Source organism: Homo sapiens, unplaced genomic scaffold (genome assembly GCF_000001405.40).
Source record: "Homo sapiens unplaced genomic scaffold, GRCh38.p14 Primary Assembly HSCHRUN_RANDOM_CTG1".
In the NCBI taxonomy this organism is placed as follows: domain Eukaryota; kingdom Metazoa; phylum Chordata; class Mammalia; order Primates; family Hominidae; genus Homo; species Homo sapiens.
In genome coordinates this window covers 140066-162695 of record NT_113901.1, presented here as the reverse complement: position 1 = coordinate 162695, position 22630 = coordinate 140066, and the positions used below count along the sequence as shown (strand labels likewise).

The 22630-nt window shown below is 37.3% G+C and overlaps 1 long non-coding RNA gene and 1 pseudogene across 9 annotated transcripts in view; one reads left to right on the top strand and one right to left on the bottom strand.

Moving 5' to 3' along the window:
* Positions 1-22630, bottom strand: part of LOC124905312 (uncharacterized) — a 35497-nt gene that overhangs the window by 10732 nt on the left and 2135 nt on the right. The window contains exons 2-5 of one of the 9 annotated variants that reach the window (XR_007068498.1): positions 22180-22282; positions 20456-20553; positions 10662-10741; positions 6427-8357 (exon numbers count right to left, since the gene is read on the bottom strand). This is a non-coding gene — a long non-coding RNA (uncharacterized LOC124905312). Of the gene's footprint in view, positions 1-6426; positions 8358-8828; positions 10742-13201; positions 13608-20455; positions 20554-20906; positions 22310-22630 lie in introns of those variants that run through there. The other 8 variants (XR_007068497.1, XR_007068503.1, XR_007068501.1 and 5 more) reach the window with 8 other exon arrangements.
* On the top strand, positions 13593-19873 carry LOC124905311 (carboxy-terminal domain RNA polymerase II polypeptide A small phosphatase 2-like; annotated as a pseudogene).

Genomic DNA, 22630 nt, shown 5'->3' with positions numbered 1-22630 from the left:
GAAACTATTTCAAACAATAGAAAAGAGGTACTCCTCCTTAACTCATTTTATGCATCCAGCATCATCCTGAAACCAAAACTTGGCAAAGACACACCAGAAAAAGAAAATTTCAGGCCCGTATCCCTGATGAATATCGATGCGAAAATCCTCAATAAAATACTGGCAAACCGAATCCAGCAGCACATCAAAAAGCTTATCCACCACGATCTAGTCAGCTTAATCCCTCGGATGCAAAGCTTGTTCAACATATGCAAATCAATAAATGTATTCCATCACATAAACAGAACTAATGACAAAAACCACATGATTATCTCAATAGATGCAAAAAAGGCCTTCAGCAAAATTCAACACCTCTTCATGGTAAAAACTCTCAATGAATTATGTATTCATGGAACTTATCTCAACATACTAAGAGCTATTTATGACAAACGCACAGCCAATATACTGAATGGGAAAAAACTTGAAACATTCCTTTTGAAAATCTGCACAAAACAAGAATACCCTCTCTCATCACTCCTATTCAATATAGTATTGGAAGTTCTGGCCAGGGCAATCAGTCAAGAGAAAGAAACAAAGCGTAATCAAATAGGAAGAGGAACTCAAGTTGTCTCTGTTTGCAGCTGACATGATTGTATATTTAGAAAACCCCATCGTCTCAGCCCAAAATCTCCTTAAACCAATATGCAACTTCAAAAAAGTCTCAGTATACAAAATCAGTGTTCAAAAATCACAAGAATTCCTATACACAATAATAGACAAACAGAGAGCCAAATCATGCATGAACTCTCATTCACAATTGTTACAAAGAGAATAAAATACCTAGGAATCCAACTTAAAAGGGATGGGAAGGACTTCTTCAAGGAGATCTACAAACCACTGCTCAAGGAAATAAGAGAGGACACAAACAAATGAAAAACAATCCGTGCTCATGGATAGGAAGAATCAATATTGTGAAAATGGCCATACTGCCCAAAGTAATTTATAAATTCAGTGTTATCCCCATCAAGCTCCCACTGACTTTCTTTACATAATTAGAAAAAAAACTACTTTAAATTTCATATGGAATCAAAAAAGATCCTGCATAGACAAGACAATCCTAAGCAAAAAGAACAAAAGTGGAGGCATCACACTAGCTATCTTCAAACTATACTAAAAGGCCACAGTAACCAAGACAGTATGGTACTGGTACCAAAACAGATATATTGACAAATGGAACAGAACAGAGGCCCCAGAAATAACATCAAACATCTACAACCATCTGATCTTTGATGAACCTGACAAAAACAAGTAATGGGGAAAGGATTCCTTATTTAATAAATGGTGTTGGGAAAACTAGATAGCCATATGCAAAAAAATGAAACTGGACGTCTTCCTTACTAGTTATACAAAAATTAACTGAAGATGGATTAAAGACTTAAATGTAAGACTTAAAACCATAAAAACCCCCCAAAAAACAAAGGCATTACCATTCAGGACATAGGCGTGGGCAAAGACTTCATGAATAAAACAGCAAAAACAATGGCAACAAAAGCCAAAATTGACAAACGAGATGTAATTAAAGTAAAGAGCTTCTTCACAACAAAAGAAACTATCATCAGAGTGAACAGGCAACCCACAGAAAGGAGAAAATTTATGCAATCTATCCATCTGACAATGGGCTAATATGCAGAATCTACAAAAAACTTAAGCAAATTTACAAGAAAAAAACAAACAACCATATCAAAAATGGGCAAAGGACATGAACAGACACTTCTGAAAAGAAGACATTTATGCAGCCAACAAACATATGAAAAAAAAACTCATCATCACTGGTCATTAGATAAATGCAAATCAAAAACACAGTGAGAAACCATCTCACTCCAGTTAGAATGGTGATCATTGGAAAAATCAGGAAACAACAGATGCTGGAGAGGATGTGGAGAAATAGGAACACTTTTACACTGTTGGTGAGAGTGTAAATTAGTTCAACCATTGTGGAAGACAGTATGGCAATTCCTCAAGGATCTACAATGAGAAATACCATTTGATCCAGCAATCCCATTACTGGGTATATAACCAAATGATTATAAATTATTCTACTACTTAGACACATGCAAACATATGTTTATTATGGCACTGTGCACAAGAGCAAAAACTTTGAACCAAACCAAATGCCCATCAGTGGTAGAATGAATAAAGAAAATGTGGCATGTATACATCATGGAATACAATGCAGTCATAAAAAGGATGAGTTCATGTCCTTTGCAGGGACATGGATGAAGCTGGAAACCACCATTCTCAGCAAACTAACACAAGAGTAGAAAAGCAAACATCACATGTTCTCTCTCATAGTTGGGAGTTAAACAAAGAGAACACAGGGACACAGGAAGGGGAACACCACACACTGGAGCCTGTCAGGAAGTGGGGGACTATGGGAGGGATAGCATTAGAAGATATATTCCTGGCCTAGGCCACTATTGCGATTTTCTAAATTTTGTTTCAAAAACATGATGTTTCAAAAATTGTTATTGATATGTAATTATACAAATATATAGTTCAGAAAAAAGAATCAACATTAATTATGCTTTTTCCAAAATACTTTATGGTTTTGAGCTCTTCTAGCAGTGACATTTTTGCTGTAGGTAGTTGCTCTATATCTGGTATATTCATCATAGCATCCTTTGTACCCTTTACACTTATCCTTCAATTTCCCACTCTCCTTAAGTGTAAATTTTCAAGGCCAGAGCTCCCATATCTTCCCAATATTACTTTTTGAAAAGAAGCTCCTATGTACTGTTTTGTCTGGGTCTTGTTGGATATAATGCTAAAAGAGCTGGAAAATAATAATTTTTTAAAAAATTCGGTGATGAAATTAAGGTAAATATATTTTATAAATCTAATGAACAAAATGAGGCCAGCTGAGAACACAATGATAGTTGAAGAAGAACCTGAGATCCTGTTTCTCTCAATGGATGTATGAACTTAACTGCAATTGGGTGAGCAAAGCCAGTTGAGTTTGTAGCACCCCTCATGAGAAAAAAGCCAACCATAACCACATTTAGAAGAAAGAAAATTTGGTTACATTTCTGCACTAAAGAACAGTGCAGTTAGATAAAATTCTGTCCATTCCATGATTCTCCCTCGGGAAAGAAAACAGAGTGAAACGTGTATGCAAACTTCTGACTTATTGATTTATACCTTTAACATTTAGTGTTGACCAGAATAGAGATAGAGTTTAAATGACAGCTTGGGTCGACTGAGAATAAAGATAAATATTTCTTACAACAAAGAGACTGTAGTGCCTGCAACAGTGACAAAGAGAAGAGACTAAAGGCTCCTAAGAGGAAAGAGAGGTAAACCTTATTAACAAGAAAATACATACAGTACAAAGAAGACACATTTTGACAACAGATTGGAGAAGCTCCCGGAATGACTAGTGTGGCTGAATATTGTCAATTTTCCCATGTACAAAGCTTTTTCATAAAGGATAAAATAGGTAGTGGTTTCTTAATTGACCAAAACCTTAACAAAACCACAGTACATAAAAGCAACCAGGAAATATAGCCTAATGAAACGAGAAAAATATATATTCAAGTGACCCTAAAGAAGTGGAGATCTATGAATTATTTTTTAACTTAAAATCATTTTATTTTTCTTTATTTTTTCATTTTATACACAGGATCTTACTCTATCTCCTGGGACAGATTGCAGTGGTGCAATCACAGCTCACTGTAACCTCAAATTTCTGAAGTAAAGCAGTCATGCCTCCTATGTCTCCTGAGTAAATATGACCACAGTTGGGCACACTACCACACCTGTATAGTTTCTTTAAAAGAATCTGTACAAACAGAATGTTGTTATGTTGCCTCGGCTGGTCTCAAACTCCTGGTCTCAGGCAATCCTACTGCCTCAGTCTGAAAGTGCTGGCATGAGCCACCATACCTGGAATTGTTTCTCTTTTAAGAAAAAAGGACTTTAAATCATTAATAGTAAAATAAAACAAAGAAAGGCATTGCATAACGATAGAGAGTTCAATTCAACAAGAAGACTTAACTATCCTAAATATAGATGCACCCAACTTTGGGGAACATAGAGTTATACAACAAGTACTGCTAGACCTACAATAAGACTCAAGTAGCCACGCAATAATAGTAGGGAAACGCAACTCCCCAATAACAGTGTTTGTCAGATTATCTAGGCAGAAACTTAACAAAGAAATTCTGGAGTTTGATTTCGCACTTGATCAATTGAAACTAATAGACATTTATAGTATACACCACACATCATCTAAGGAACATAAATTCTTCTCATCGCTCACAGAATATACTCTAGGATTGACCACTTCCTAGCCATAAAGCAATTATCCATACATTTTTTAAAAATGAAAATTATGCCAACCATACTGTCAGGCCACAATGGAAAAAAGATAAATATCAATACCAACAAAATCTCACAAAATCACAGAATGGCATTGAAATTAAACAACTTGCTCCTGAATGAATTTTGGGTAAACAACAAAATTGAGGCAGAAACTTAAAAAAAATTTGAAATAAATGAAGAGACACAATATACTAAAATGTCTGGGTTGTAGGAAAAGCTCTGTTAAGAGGAAAGTTGAGAGTGCTAAATATCTGCATCAAGAAGTTAGAATGATCTCAAACTAACAATTTAACATCACACTTAGAGAAACTAGAAAAACAAAAACAAACTAACCCCAAAGCTGGCAGAATGGCAAAAATATTCACAACCTATAAACCTGACAAAATCTAATACTCAGAATCTATAAGAAACTTAAAGAATTCACAAGCAAAAAATTACCCCATGAAAAAGTGGGCAATAACAGACAATGTTCAAAAGAATACATACAAGTGGCCAAACAACATGAAAAAAGCTTATCACTAACCATCAAGGAAATGTAAATAAAAACCACAGTAAGACACCATCGTACACCAGTTAGAATGGCTTTTGTTAAAAAGTAAAATGATAGTAGATATTGGTGGGGTTTTAGAGGGAAAAAACCACTTATACACTGTTTATAGGAATATAAATTAGTTCAGCCACTGTGGAGAGCAGCTTGGAGATTTTCCAAATAACTGAGAGTTGAACTATGATTCAACGCAGAATTTCACCGCTGGGTGTATACCCAGAAGAGAATAAACTATTCTACCAAAACAGCACATGCACTTGTTGGTTCATCACTGCATTATTTATAACAGGAAAGACATGAATCAACCTACGTGACTATTAATGGTATTTTTTTTTTTTTGAGATGAAGTCTCACTCTGTTGCCCAGGCTGGAGTGCAGTGGCACTATCTCAGCTCACTACAACCTCCACCTCCCAGGTTCAAGCAATTCTCCTGCCTCAGCCACCCGAGTAGCTGGGACTACAGGCTCATGACAACACGTCCGGCTAACTTTTGTATTTTCAGTAGAGACGGGGGTTTCATTATGCTGTCCAGGATGGTCTCGATCTCCTGACCTCATGATCCACTCACCTTGGCCTCCCACAGTGCTGGGATTACAGGCATCAGCCACCGTGTCCAGCCTATTAATGCTAAATTGAATTTAAAAAGTGTCACATGTACAGCAATACTACTTAGCAAAAACAACAACAACAAAAAAAAAACTTGTCCTTTGCAGCAACATTAATACAACTAAAGGTCATTCTACAATCAAATTAATGCAGAAATGGAAAACAAAAATACTGATGTTCTCACTTATAAATGGAAATTAACACTGGGTACACATGGACATAAAAATAAAAATAAAAGACAACTCTTAGAGGGTGGAGAGAGGGAGGGATCAAGAACTGAAAAACTGTCTATTTAGTACTATGCTCACTGCATAAGTGATGGAATTACTTATATTTCAAACCTCAGCACTATACAAAATACCCATGTAAAAAACCTGTGTAGGTACCTCCTAAATCTAAAACAAATTTGAAATTCTAAAAGGCGGTCTTACTCTCTCACCCAGACAGGAATACAATATCATGGTTATAACTCAATGCAGCCTCAAATTCCTGGGAACTCAAGGAATAATCTTACATCAGCCTCCAACTTCCTGAGACTACAGGAACATTCCACCATTCATGATTAATCTGTAAAAATATTTTTTACATATAGCTTCTCACAATATTGCCCAGGGTGGTCTGAAACTCCTAGCCTTAAGTAATTGATATGGTTTGGCTCTCTGTCCCCAACCAAATCTCATCTTGAATTGTAATAATCTCCACATGTCCTGGGAGGGACCCTGTGGGAGGTAATTGAATCATGGGGGTGGGATTTTCCCATGCTGTTCTCATGATAGCAAAAAAGTCTCACGTGATCTGATGGTTTTATAAGTGGAGATTCCCCTGAACAAAGTCTCTTGTTTGCTCCAATAATTGTGAGACCTCCCCAGCCATGTGAAACTGTGAGGCCATTAACCTTTTTCATTATGAATTATCCAGTCTTGGTTATGTCTTTATTAGCTGCATGAGAATTTATTAATACAGTAATCCCCTTGCCTTAGCTTTCAAAGTAGCTGGAATTAGACACACATATCAATGTGCCTGGCTAAAACACCTAGCTTAAAGATGCTCATTCAGCTAAAGAAGAACATAGAAAGCTAAACAGAAAAAGAAAACAATTCATGAAGATAATGAGATTATCAATGAAGTGATTAAAAGTACAAAATAGAAACATAAAGTGTGGAGCTGAAAAATAAAATACCTGAATTTAGAGATTCACTAGAAGGTCCAACAACTGGTTTGATCTAGCAGGAAAAAATCCAGCAAGCTTCATAAGAAGTCTTTTGAAATTATATGGTGAGGAGGGTAAAAATAATTTTAAAAATTAAGAAAGCCTAAGGGACTTATGGGATACCATTAAGATGGCCAATATACTTCTAATGGGAATTCTAAAATAAAAAGAGAGAAAAGAGAGCAGCAAAGTTATTTCAAGAAACAAACAGTGGCTGAGAACTCTCAAAATTTGAGGGAGAAAATGGCCTAAAATTTAATGAAACTTTACCAACTAGTAGCAACACAGGGAGACCCATGACAAGACACATTTTAATCAGAGATTCAAATGTTAAAACACCGAGAATCTTGAAGTCAGCAAGAAAAAATGACTTAGCATGTACAATGTTACCCCTATAGGATGACCAGCAGATGTCTCAGCCAATAGCATGCAGGCAAGAGGTTGTAGGATGACATACTCAAAGTGCTGAAAAAAATGGCAAGTACCAACCAAGAACACTATGTCTGCCAAAGCTATCATTTCAAATGAATTAAAAAATAAAAATAAAGAATATTCAAGATCAACGAAAACTGTATTAATTTATGCACGGTAGGCCTGTATAAAAAAATGCTAGTCATTGACATTAAAAAATAAAATAATGATGAGAGCAACATAGAATTATGTAAAATATAAAGTTTTCTAACAGATAATTATGTACACAATTATAATATTTTTGTTATTATAATGAAGATGCACAGAATACTTTTAATTCTGCTATGTAGTTGAGATAACAAAGACTTAAAAATGACTATATAACTGTGCCAATAGATTCACAATACAAAATGATGTAATTCGCGACATCAATAAAACACATAGGCAGCCATAAAGAGGCAGGGTTTTATATGCTATAGTAGTTATTTTTGGTAATATCTATAGTAACAACAAAGAAAATACCTATAGTACTTAGGATTTTGAGACTAGTCTGGGCAACATGGCAAAACCCTGTCTCTATGAAAAATAACAAAAATTAGCCAGGAGTACTGGTGCACATCTGTGGTCCCAGGTACTCAGAAGGCTGTGGTGGGAGGATTGTTTGAGTTGAGCCTGAGAGGCAGAGCTTGCAATAAGCAGATATTGTGCCACTGCCCTCCAGCCTGGGCGACAGAGCAAGACCCTGTCAAAAAAAAAAAAAAAAAAGGAAATACCTATAGTACACACACACAAAGACATACACACAGAGAGAGTAGTGAGAAAAGAAGTAAAACATGTCACTATAAAAATCAATAATATGCTAAGAAAGAGAACAAGAGAGAAAAACAGGAAATAATAGCTACAGGACCGGCCAGGAGCGGTGGCTCACGCCTGTAATCCTAGCAATTTGGGAGGCCGAGGTGGGTGGATCAACGAGGTCAGGAGATTGAGACCATCCTGGCTAACACAGTGAAACCCTGTCTCTACTAAAAAAAATAAACAAATAAAAATAAAAATAGCCGGGCATGGTGGCGGGTGCCTGAATTCCCAGCTGCTGGGGAATCTGAGGCAGGAGAATGGCGTGAATCCGGGAGGCGGAGCTTGCAGGGAGCCAAGATTGCACCACTGCACTCCAGCCTGGGCAACAGAGCAAAACTCCGTCTCAAAAGAAAAAGCTACAGGACCTAAAACAAAAAAGAAACAAAATTAAATAGAAAGTCATAGGAAATCATTCCCTTTTAGTAATGATTTTTTATATATATAAATTATGTCAATCAAAAACATACTTTCACTAAATAAATTCATGAAACAAGATTCAACTCTCTGCTTCCTACAAATGACCACATTATGATCTGGAACACGCATAAGCCATACATGAAAGAATAAAAAAAATTAAATGCAAAATCAAATACTGTCATGGTAGACAAAATATATATTATATCAAAAACTTCCTCAAGAGAGAAGAAGAAAAGGACAATAACAACAACAACAATAAAAGCAACAAAAAACAACATATATCAATAAAAGCAACAACAATAAAACAACATGCAACAATAAAAGCAACAGTAATGTATGTGCCTTACATCACAGTTCCCAAAATATGAAGCAACATTTTACAGAATTGAAACATGAAGTAGCCAGCACATAACAGTAGATGACTTTTTTATCAGACTTTTAGTAATGTAAATTAAAAAACAAACATAAGATGAATAAGTAAACAGAGGATTTCAACAACACAATAGAACAATTAGACCTAACAGTCACATTTATATCTCTCCACTCAACAGTAGAATATGCAATACTTTTAATCACACATGCCACAATATTCCAGATAGACCACCTGTTAAGTTAAAAAACACATCTTAGCAAATTTCAGCAGATGGAATTACACAAATTATTCCTAACTATGATACAATAAAACAAGAAGTTAAAAACACTAACATGTCAAAGAATAAGTAAAAATTAAACAACAAATTCTCAAACACACTCTTGTTCAAGAGGTTATAGACTTAATATTGTTAAAATGTCACTACTACCAAAAGTGGTCTACGGATTCAATGTTCTTTCTTTTCTTTTCTTTCTTTTTCTTTTGAGACGGAGTTTTGCTCTTGTTGCCCAAGGTGGAGTGCAATGGTGTGATCTCAGTTCACTGCAGCCTCCACCTCCTGGGTTCAAGCTGTTCTCCTGCCTCAGCCTCCTGAGTAGCTGGGAATACAGGCATGTGCCACCACACCTGGCTAATTTTGTATTTTTAGTAGAGATGGGGTTTCTCCATGGCTGGTCTGGAACTCCTGACCTCAGGTGTTCCACCTTCCTCAGCCTCCCAAAGTGCTGGGATTACAGGCATGAGCCACAACCCTCAGCTGATTCAATATACTTTCTATCAAAATACCAATGAAACTTTTTGCAGAAGTTTTAAAATATTCTACAATTTTTATGGAATTTCAAGTGATCACAAACAGCCAAACAATATTGGGAAAAAAATATAAAGACAGAGGCATCATACTTTCTATTTTCTAAACATACTATGAACATATAGTAATCAAAACAGTTTGGTACTGACATAAAGACAAATGAATGATGAAACAGATGAGAGAGTCCAGACATAAGTCCTCATGGGTATAGTAAACATATTTTTAAAATGTGTTCCAAGAATCACAAAAAGGAAAGAACAGTCTCTTCAACAAACAGTATTGGGAATAATAAAAATTTACAAGGAAAAAATAACAAAGTTAGACCTTAACTTGCAACAGATAAAAACATAAACTCAAGGCTGGGTGTGGTGGCTCACACCTGTAATCCCAGCACTTTGGGTGACTGAGACAAGTGAATCACAAGGTCAGGATATCAAGACCATCCTGGCCAACATGGGGAAACAACGTCTCTACTAAAAATACAAACAAAAATTAGTTGGCGGTGGTGGCACATGCCTGCAGTTCCAGACACTCAGGAGGCTGATGCAGGAGAATCTCTGGAATCCGGGAGGCAAGAGTTTCAGTGAGCTGAGATCATGTCACTGCGCTCCAGCCTGGTGACAGAGAAAGACTCCACCACAAATAAAGAAATAAACTCAAAATAACTAATTTTTGGTAGCTATTAAAATGGAATTTATAATTTTATTTTTCAGATAGTTCGCTATCATCATACAGAAAGCTACTACTGTGTTAATTTTCTGCAATGTTACAGAATTTGTTTAGTAGTTCTAATAGTTTTTGGTGTAGTGTTTAGAGTTTTTCACATATAAGATTATTTTGTCCACAATCAGAGACCATTTGACTTCATCCTTTCAATTAGTATGACTTTTATTTCTTCCTCTTGCCTAATTTCCTTGGCTAGGACTTCCAGTACTATGTTGAATAAGAGGGCTGAAAGTTTGGACGATTTGTCTTGTTCCAGATCTCAGAGAGAAAGCTTTCAACTTTTCCTTATTCAGTATAAAGTTAGCATTGCTTTTTCATAAATGGCCTTTATTGAGTTAAGGCACATACCTTCTATTCCTAACTTGTTGAGAGTTTTCATCATAATCAAGGCTGAATTTCATCCAATTCTTCTTCTGCATATGCAAAAGCTACAAAAATGAAAATACTTAATGTGATGGCTAATACAGGGTGTCAAATTGATTGGATTGGAGGATAGAAAGCATTGATCCTGGGTGTGTCTGTGAGGGTGTTGCCAAAGGACATTAACATTTGAGTCAGTGGGCTGGGAAAGGGAGATCCACTCTTAATTGGGTGAGCACCATCTAATGAGCTGACAGTGAATATAAAGCAGGCAGAAAAACGTGAAAAAGAGAGACTGGCCTAAGCTCCCAGACTACATCTTTCTCCTGTGCTGGACACTTGCAGCCCTCAAACATCAGACTCCAAGTTCTTCAGCTTTGGGACATGGACCGCCTCTCCTTGCTCCTCAAACTTGCAGACAACCAACCTATTGTGGGATCTCATGATCTCTCTAGGGAAGCCCAACTAATACACCTAGCAACAAACTTAACTAAAAAGGTAAAAGATCTCTACTCTGAAAACGACAAAACATGGATAAAAAATATAAAATACAAATGAATAAATAAAAAATATTGTGTTTATACACTGGAAGAATACTGTTGATATAGCTACCCAAAGTGATCTACAGACTTAATGTGATTTTTATCAAAATACCAATGACATTTTTTCACAGAAATAAAAAAATTTAAATTTATATGGATCCACAAAAAACTCTGAATAGACAAAGCAACTTTGAGCAAAATAAGCAAAGCTGAAGGCATCACTTCATCAAACTTCAAAACTTGCTATAAAGCTACAGTAACCAAAACAGCACTGTACTGGCATAAAAACAAACACATAGACTAATATGCCCAATAAGCCCGGAAGTTAATTTATGCACCTAAAGCCAACAGATTGTCAACAAAATTACCAAGAACACACTTTAGAGAAAAGCTAATCTCTTTAATAAATGGTGCAGGGCCATTTAAATATTTATATTCAGAAAAATAATACTAGACCCTTGTACCTTGCCATATATGATAATCAACTAAAACTAAAGACTTAAATGTAATGCCATCAATTATGAAACTATTAGAGAAAAACATAAAAAAATGCTTTATAACATTGGACGGTGAAAGGATTATTAAAATAAGATTTCAAAACATGGGCAACAAAATCAAGAATAAACAAACAACATTATGTCAAACTAAAATGCTTTTTCATATTAAAAAAACAACTAAAAGTTTGAAGAGACAGCTTAGGCGATGACAGAAAATGTTTTCATATACATGTGACAAAAGGCTAATATTCAGAATATATAAGAAACTTTAAAATCTCAAAATAAAATACACTTATAATCTAATTTAAAAAATGCAAAAGATCTTAATAGATGTTTGTCAAAAAGAGATACAAAAATGGCTAACTGGAACACAAAAAGATGCTCTACATTACTAATCACCAAGGAAATGCAAATCCAAACTGCAATGAAGTACCACCTCATTCCCATTAGAATGGCTATAATAAAAATAAATAAATAAATAAATCAAGAACTAATGAGGATATAAAAAAGAGTGGATGTATACCTTGTTGGTGGAATTGTAAATTAGTATGGCCATTATAGAAAATAGTATGGAGGTTTCTGAAAGAAATTAAAAATATATCTATTATATGATCCAGCAATTTTACTTCTGGGTGTATATCCAAAAGAAAGGATATTACTGTGTCAAAAAGATATTTGCATTCCCATGTTCATTACAGAACTATTTATAATAGCTTATATATGGAATCAATTCAAATGTACAGCAACAGATAAATGGATAAGGAAAATGTACTATATATACACAGCGAAATACTATTCAGCCATAAGAAAGCATAAAATTCTGTCAGTTAAAAAGAGCATGGATGAACCTTGAGCATACCATGTTAAGTAAAATAAGCCACACAGAGAAACACAAATACTTTATGATCTTATTATCTCACTCATTTGAGGAACCTGAAAAAAAGGGTTGATAGAAGCAAAGAGTACAACAGGGGTTACCAGAGACTGAAGCAGGAGGATGGGAAAAGTCTGCTTCACAGGTATTGTGTTATGATTAGATAGGGGAAATAAGTTTTTGTTTTTTATTACACAGTAGAATAATAATAATTAATGAAAAGTTATCTCATATTACAAAATAGCTAAAAGAGACCAGTTTTGGTGGCATATTCTTGCAATCCATACATTTTGGGAGATTGAGGTAGGAGAATCACTTGACGTCAGAAGTTCAAGATGAGCCTGGACAACATAGTGTGACCCCGTCTGTATGAAAAATTAAAACATTAGCCAGGCATGGTGGCAGCTTCTTGTAGTCTCAGCTAATTGGGAAACTAAGGTTAGAAGACTGTTTGAAGTTACAGTGAGCTAGGATTGCACCACTGCACACCAGTCTGGGTGTTAGAGCAAGATCCTGTCTCTAAAATAATTAATACATAAAGATAAAATAAAATAGCTAGAGAAGGAGCTTTTGAATATTCTCACCACAAAAATAACAAATGCATGAGGCAACAAATATAGAAGTACTGATTTTTATTGTTATACAACACATATATATAATTGTTTCCCCAAAATATGCACAATTACATGTGTCAATTTTAAAAAATGAATGAAGACTATAATGTAAAACCTATAGCTGTAAAATTCCTAGCACAATACAGAAGGGTGAAGCTTCATTACAACTGGTCGTGGCAATAATTTGGGGGACGTAGCATCAACGGATGAGACAACAAAAGCAAGGGAATACACATGGTACTGAATCAGTGTATGAAAAATATCCCAAACAGACAAAGCAGAACATGGAATAGATATATGCACATTGTAGTATTACTCACAAACATGTTACCTGGAAGCAAATGTACCCTTAAGGATGAGTAGATTCAGCAAACAGGGCACGTACAATCACTGGGATAGCATTCAGCCTTAAAAATAAGGAAATCTTGAAAAGTACTACAATAAGGACAAATCTTCAAAACATTCTGTTAAGTAAAATAAGACAGTCAAAAAGGAAAGCTGTATAATTACACTCATGTAAAATATTTAGTCAAACTCAAAGAAACCAAGTGTCGTAGTCTCAGCAGTGCACCAAGATGTAACAGTCTCTCGTAGTCTGAGATAACATCCAGAGTTCTTTGTTCTACCTCTAAGGAGATTAAGGAGCGTGAACACAAAGGTGAGGTTGGAGTGAAAGTTTAAGAAGCAAGAGAAGAAAGCTCTTTGCCAGCAGAGATAGGTGTCTGAAAGTGGTGCCCTCTACGAGGCTGGGTCCAGGGTTTTTATGGACTGGGAAGGGAAGGATATGTGCCTAGTTCACAGGCTGTCTTGAAAAACGTGTGGCTCAGCTTGGCCCAGGCCTTTGGCCCGGGATCAATCAGGAGCTGAAGGGATGATTGATAGATGCTGCTTAGCTTGGCCCAAGACTTATCAGAAGCTAAGGTGAAAGTTTGGCCAAGGAGCTTGGCCCGGGAGCACTCAGGGGCTGAAGTAATTATTCATAGAGGTCAGACTTACAGTCCAAATAAACGAGAGTGTCGACCGGAATGCACCAGATCCCACAGTGCCCATGCCAACAAAAAGAGAAGGAACATTTTCCTGGGAGCCCACTGACTGTACAAAGACAAAAGTGCTTCTTTTTTTTCTTTTTCTTGTCTTTCTTTTTTTTGAGATGTACTTTCTTTTTTTATTTATTTTTATTTTTTTTTGCAGTTTTGCTCTTGTTGCCCAGCCTGGAGTGCAATGGTGCGATCTCGGCTCACAGAAACCTCCGCCTCCTGGGTTCTAGCGATTCTCCTGCCTCAGCCTCCCAAGTAGCTGGGATTATAGGCATGCAGCACCATGCCTGGCTAGTTTTGTATTTTTAGTAAAGACAGAGTTTGTCCATCTTGGTCATGCTGGTCTCAAACTCCCGACCTCAGATGATCCGCCCACAGCTGCCTCCGACATTGTTGGAATTACAGGCATGATCCACCGTGCCTGGCCAAACAAAGGCATTTCTATGCTAGGTCGTTCTTGTTCCTTTATCTGAGTGAGCTGGAGGTTTCTACAAGTTTTTATCCAAATGGGCCAGAGGTTTTTCTATCTGTGCAGCCACGGGCATGTCCCCAAGCACAACAACATATGCTAGTTCCCTTGTTAGTGTCTGCAGCTTGATTTTTTCCAGGCTTCTTTATATGTTATGCAGGGATGAGGCACTGACCAGGGACTTTCCAGGGACTCTTCTCTTGCTATCTACCTAAGGCAAGCTAACTAACTTCTTTCATAAGTAATGAGTATTCACTTTTACTTTTGTAAGACACAAATTATCTAAAACCTACTGCAAAACAATAGAACTATACTAACCACTTCTAAACCATATACTTAAAATGTCAGAAATGACAATGGCATGTTTTTAACTACAATTAGAAATTTAAGACTAACTAAAAGGCACAGTTAGAAAATCTTTCAAACATCACCTTCAAATAACAAAGGGTTCTTCTCACACAATTATATGGATTTAAACTATATGTTGATTGTAAATTTAAGATTATTTCCCTGATGACTCACCAAGATAGAATAAAATAATCACTGGAAACCAAGAAAAGAGGGAAATTTATAGCACTAATGTCCACATCAAAAAGATAGAAAGGGCTGGGTGTGGTGGCTCATGCCTGTAGTTCCAGCACTTTGGGAGGCTGGGGTAGGCAAATCACTTAAGGCCAGATGTTCAAGACCAGTCTGGACCACACAACAAAACCCCACCTCTACAAAAAAAATTCAAAAATTAGCTGGTTTTTGTGATGCACATCTGTAATCCCAGCTACTCAGGAAGCTGAGACAGCAGAAATCACTTAAAACTGAGAAGTGGAGGTTGCAGTGAGCGGAGATCATGCCACTGTACTCCAGCCTGGGTGACAGAGTGAGACTCTGCCACAAGAAGAAAAAAAAGAGAAACTAAAAGATCTAAAATTAACAGCCTAACATCTTGATGAAAAGAACTAGAAAACCAAGTGAAAACTAACCAGAAAGGTAGCAGAAAACAAGAAATAACCAAGATCAAAGTAGAGCTGAGGGAGATAGAGACACTGAAAACTCTTCCAAAAAAAAAAGTCAACAAATCCAGGAGCTGTTTTTATGAAAAAAATTAATAAACTAGATGGAACACTAGCTAGGCAAATAAATAAGAAAAGAAAGGAGAACCAAACACAATTAGAAATAATAAGGGAGATATCATCACTGATCCCATGGAAATATGAACAACAATCAGAGAACACTATAAACATATGTATGCACATAAACCAGAAAATCTAGAAGAAATAGACAATTTCCTTGCAAAATAAACCCTCCACAAGACTGAACCCTGAATAGATCAATAATGTGTTCTGAAACTGAGGCAGTAAAAACTAGCCTACCAAGCAAGCTGAATTTGAGCAGAGGTACAAAGAGGAGATGGTACCTTTTCTCCTAAAACCATCCAAAAAAAATTGAAGACAAAGAAGTTCTCTCTAACTCATTCTATCAGGCCAGCATCATCCAGATACCAAAACCTAACATAGATACTACAACAACAACAACAACAACAACACATCATGCCAATGTCTTTGGTAAACACTGTGCAAAAATCCTCAATAAAATACTGGCAAAACAAATCCAGCAGCACATTAAAAAGTTCATCCGCAACAATGGAGTTGGCTTTGTCCCCAGGATGCAAGGTTGATTCAACATATGCAAATCAATAAATGTGACTCATCACATAAAGAGAACTAAATACAAAAACCACATGATTATCTCAATAAATGCAGAAAAAGCATCCAATAAAATTCAGCATTCTTTCAGGTTTAAAATTCTCAATAAACTAGGAAGTGAAGAAACATACCTGAAAATAATAAGAGCCATATACAACAAACCCACAGCCAATATCATACTGAATGTGCAAAAGCTAGAAACGTTCCACCTGAAAACTGGCACAAGAAAAGAATGCCCTCTTTCACCACTACCATTCAATATAGTATCAGAAGCCTTGGCCAGGAAAATCAGGCCAGAGGAAGAAATAAAGAGTATTCTAATAGAAAGAGAGGAAGTCAAATTATCTTTGTTTGCAGATGACCTGATCCTACATCTAGAAAACCTCATTGTCTCAGGCCCAAAGCTTCTTAAGGTGATAAGCAACAGTAGCAAAATCTCAGGATATAAAATCAATGTGCAAAAGTAGCTAGCATTCCCATGCACAAACAACAGGCAAGCAGGGAGACAAATCATGAATGAACTTTCATTCACATTTGCTACAAAGAGAAAAAAATACCTAGGAATACAGCTAAGAAAGAAAGTGAAGGACCTCTTCAAGGAGAACCACAAACAACTGCTCAGAGAAATCAGAGTGGACACAAAACAGATGGAGAAATATTCCATGCTCATGGAGAGGAAGAATCAGTATCATGAATATGGGCATATGGCCCTAAGTAATTCATAGATTCAATGCTATTCCCATTGAACTACTGACATTCTTCAGAGAATTAGAAAAATAAAAACTTTTAAAGTTCATATGGAACCAAAAAAGAGCCCAAATAGCCAAGCCAACCTTAAGAAAAAAAAAAAAAAGCTGGAAGTGTCACTCTACCTAACTTCAAACTATACTAGAAGAGTACAGTAACAAAAACAGCATGGTACTGGTATAGAAACAGACACATAGACAAATGAAACAAAGTAGAGAACCTAGAAATAAAGCCAAAAACCTACAACAACCTGATCTTTGACAAAGTTAACAAAAACAAGGAATTAGGGAAAGGTGTCCCTATTCAAAAAATGGTGCTAGGAGAACTGGCTAGCCATATGCAGAGAATTTAAACTGGAACCCTTCTTAACACCATGTACAAAAATTAACTCAAGATGGATTAAAGACTTAAATGTACAACCCAAAACTATAAAACCCTTAGAAGAAAAAATCTAGATAATACCATTCAGGATATAGGCATGAGAAAAGACTTTATGACAGAAAGGCAAAAAGCTATAGCAACAAAAGCAAAAATTGACTAATGGGGTCTAATTAAACTAAAGAGCTTCTGCGGAGCCAAAGAAACTATCATCAGAGCAGACAACCTAGAGAATGGGAGAAAAATTATGCAACCTATCCATCTCACAAATGTCTAATATCCAGAATCTAGGAGGAATTTAACAAAATTTACAAGAGAAAAAAAAAAGGCCCCATTAAAAAAGGGTCAAAGAACATGAACAGACATATCTCAAAAGAGGACATACATGTGCCCAACAAACATGAAAAGCTCAACATCACTGATAACTGCATAAATACAAATCAAAACCATAATGAGATACCATCTCACACAAATTATAATGGCTATTAATAAAAAGTAAAAAAAAAAAAACAGATGCTGGCGAGGTTGTGGAGAAAAGGGAACACTTTTACACTGTTGGTGGGAGTGTAAATTATTTCAAGCATTGAGGAAGAGAGTGTGGAGATTCCTCAAAGACCTAGAAGCAGAACTACCATTTGACCCAGCAATACCATTACACCCAAAGGAATATAAATAATTCTATTTTAAAAATACATGTATACAAATGTTCATTGCAGCACTATTTACAATAGCAACATCATGTAATCAATCTACATGCCCATCAATGATACACTGGATAAAGGAAATGTGGTACACATACACCATGGAACACTATGAAGCCATAAAATGTAATGAGATGATGTCCCTTGCAGGGACATGGTTGGAATTTGAAGCCATTACTCCCAGCAAACTAATGCAGGAACAGAAAACCAAACACCGCCTATTATTATTCTAACTTATTAGCAGAAGCAGATCAATGAGAACACATGGACACATCAGGAAGAACAACACACACTGGACACCTGTTTCATGGCATGGGGGAGGGGAAGGAGAGCATCAGGAAGAATAGCTGCGGATGCTGGGCTTGGTACCTGGGTGATGAGATGATCTGTGCAGTAAACCACAGTGGTACGCATTTATGTATGTAAGAGACCTGCATACTCTGCACATGGACCCCTAAACTTAAAATAAAAGTTGAAAAATAAACTTTATCACATATGGACCCCTGAACTTAAAATAAAACTTGAAAAAAAATGTGTTTCTGGTGGATTCTCTATGTTAGACCCAAACTGAGGATCTTGAAGCTCTCGCTGGGGGAATCGGGGATGGGGGCACACTGGGGAGCCGCTGCCAAGGCCAACCACCCTCCCTACAAGCCACCTCCCTTCCCGGCCAGTATGGAAAGGAGAAGGGGTATGTGAACAGCTGTGGAGGTCAGAATCTCGGGAACTGAATCAGGCCCCAGCCCATGCCCCCCAGCCCAGCCCTCAGGATTGTTAGATGGAACAAGGCTCCATCATCACCCAGGCATGGAGGGAAGATGCCCTGGTCCTTACCAAACAAGGCCTGGTTTCCAAAGTCCTCTCCGAAGAGGCCTCATGTTTGCCACATCTTAAAAGTCCCCTTTCTGCTGTTCTTGCACCCAGCATGTTGGACAGTCAAGTTCCCCCGCTGAGCAATCCACACATAAGGAGGGAGTCAACACCATTGCTATGTCGGATCAGCTCCAGCGTCTCCAATATCAGTTTTATCAGATCCCAGGAACCTGCCTGCTCCCAGAGGTGACAGAGAAAAATCAAGGAAGGATCTGTATGGTCACTGACCTGGATGAAACCCTTGTGCATAGCTCCTTTAAGCCAATCAGCAATGCTGACTGCCTAGTGCCTGTAGAGCTTGAGGGGACCATGCACCAGATCCATGTGCTCATGAGGCCTTATATGGATGAGTTCCTGACATGAATGGAGGAAATGTTTAAATGTGTTTTCGTCATTGCTCTCTTCTTCCCAGCCTGAACAAGTAGGCAGATCCTGTGACGGGTGAGCTGGACGGGTATGGGATGGTCTGGGGCTGCCTGTCCCATGAGTCATGTTTGTTTCACCAGGGCTGCTATGTCAAGGACGTCAGCCATCTGGGGAGGGACCTGAGGAAAACTCATCCTGGACAACTCGCCTGCTTCTTACATCTTCCACACAGAGAATGCAGTGCCTGTGCAGTCCTGGTTTGATAACATTCCAGACAGCAGCTGCTGCACCTGATATCATTATTTGAGGAGATGAGTGGAGGAGCAGAGGGTGTCTACACTAGCCTTGGGCAGCAGTGGGCCCTTAACCTTCCCTGCTTCCCAGCAATGGCCATCACAGTAGGGGATTTTCCCACACTGTGCCTTTATGAACAGCCTGAAAGAGTGAAGGCTGGAACACCTACCCACATGGGCCTGGAAACAGTGAGAAGTGATTGAAAAGAGCTTTAGGACAGCTTAGATGCCCAGTGGGTGAATGCCAGACCAAGGATACCCAGAGCTACCTGCCATCAAGTTGTTGGGTTCCCGAGATGGGGGTGTGAGAGAAAGAAAGACAGCATGTGTGTTTTGTTATGAACTGTGGCCCCAAGTATATAGTGTTTCAGTAGAGGAGAAGCTGAAGGACAAAGACTCTTCCCAAGCTAGCTTGTCTCCTCTCCTGTCACCCTATGAGCCCCTGAGATCCATAGGGATGAAGAGTATTGAAGGCTCCGTTGCAAACCTGGTCTTTCTTCAGTGCTGCAAGGCCTATGCCAAGGAGAAAGGAAAGGTATGCCTTTGGGTGTTCCAGGCACACATCTTTCTGAAATATTTCTCCAGCCAGTTGTTGCAGACAAAAGACGACATTTCTGGGAAGATGGGGACTTATGTCCAGACGAGTACCCAAACTATCAGGTCTTCTGGCCCAAAGGCTATTTTTACTTACCTCTAGCCAAGTGCCTGGGATGGATCCTTTCTGCGTCTCACCAAGGCTCACCACTTAGCCATAGCCTCAAACCCGTGGGGAAGGAAGGTCTCCCCGCCCTGCAAGAGGACAAATAACTGATTTTTGTTCATTTGACTCTGTTTTAAAATTCTCTTTAAAAAAAAAAAAAAACAAAAAAAAGAAAAAGAAAGCATATCTGAAACTTAAAAAAAAAAAACAAGGAAAAAAGATGAAAAAAATGACATACTTACATAGGTGAAAAACACATAGATATATCTATAAGCAACAAACACAGCTAATTCAAATATAAATTAAATATCACATTGTCATAATGTGTACCGAGTTAAAAAATTATCATTCAACTCATGATATCAAGCTTTAAAAGCAAAAATACAATTAACTGCTCTGAGAAAACATACCCCCCCAGAAAAGAAACACAACAACACAGAACTGAAAATAAGAAGAGAGATTTTAATGCATAAAATCCTGAATACAACATAAATATACAATGAAAAATAAGCCCTTTTTGTTTTTTTTTGAGACAGTCTCACCCTGTCGCCCAGGCTGGAGTGCAGTGGTGCCATCTCGGCTCACTGCAAGCTCCGCCTACTGGGTTCACGCCATTCTCCTGCCTCAGCCTCTCGAGTAGCTGGGAATACAGGCACCCACCACTATGCCCGGCTAATTTTTTCTATATTTAGTAGAGACGGGGTTTCACCGTGGTAGCCAGGATGGTCTTGATCTCCTGACCTCGTGATCCACCCACCTTGGCCTCCCAAAGTGCTGGGATTACAGGCGTGAGCCACCATGCCGGGCTGAAAAATAACCCTTTAGATATCTACAGCTTTAAACTGTGTGCAGTCATGAAAAGCAGACATTGGAAGTCATTGGCATTTAATAAATTGCAGAAAAATTATACAGTAAATACATTACAATCATTAATAATAGGCTCTAATGAGAAGAATTTAATAAATAATCATTAAAAAGACAGCAGAATTTTATCTGTTCTCAATATGTTGCTGCTCTTCTTATCAAATACTATAATAAAACTATATGACTATAATATAGCTTTCAGGAGCTAAAAAAAGCCTTATATTTTCAAATAAAAGAACAATATAAATTTTGCAAAATACAATGAGCATTACTGAAGTATAAAGTAAATATTTGGAATTAAAATATATGGTCATTTAGATACAGACTAAAAAAGAATAGAAATCTTAATGATTCCTTTCTGCCTACAGTGAGCTTAAAATTACAACCAAAAATTTTAACAAATATGTAGCACCTACAAGAAATTTTATTAACAGCTTACATAATGTATAAATTTGAGCAATTTATTTTAGAACTTTTGAATCTGAAAATCACCTGCTTGACATTCATTTGAGAAAGTGAAACATAAAGGAGAGTAACATAAGCAAGACGACAGAATGTGAGGTTCTGCATCCACATCCCCCACGACATAATGCAGCTGCCACAGCAAACGTAAGTGCATTCATGAAAGCCTTGAAATCCAGTTCAGAGTTTGTGGCACCCAGCTGGAGGCAAAGACCAAGGAAGACATTTTCAGAGGGTGAGCACTTGACCAAGTGGCAAGCTTGCCAATCATGGTCCCGGCTTCAAAACAGAATACTGCCACATCTTACTGTAGACTTGGCTATAACTCATTTGACCTTGGTCCTGCCACTGCAACAATCTGTGAAAAACACAAGAGAATTCATACTCACCTGAGACTTAGGTGACAGGCCTGCAGAACTTGGTTCTCTCTATAGTCACTGAGTCAGGCAAAACACACCTTCTTTCCTTCTCCAGCCATGGTCTGGAAGAAATCTTCACATTGATATGATGAAATGCTAACTAACAATATGAAAAATACTAAAGTATAAATGTCACTAAAATGGTAAATACATACTGAATTTCAGAATACTATAAATTGTTATCATCTTAAACTAGACTATTAAAATACAAGATGTTTTACCTAAGTCTCATGATAACCACTAGGAAAAAAAAACTGCAGTAAAGAAAAAGAGAAAGTAATTAAAGCATACACAAACAACAAAAATTACACATTGGATATGGTGTCTCCTGCTTATAATTCCAACACTTTGGGAGGCCAAGGTGGAAGGATGAAATCTCCTTGGGTGTTGCGGTACGTGTCTGTAGTCCAAGCTACTTGGG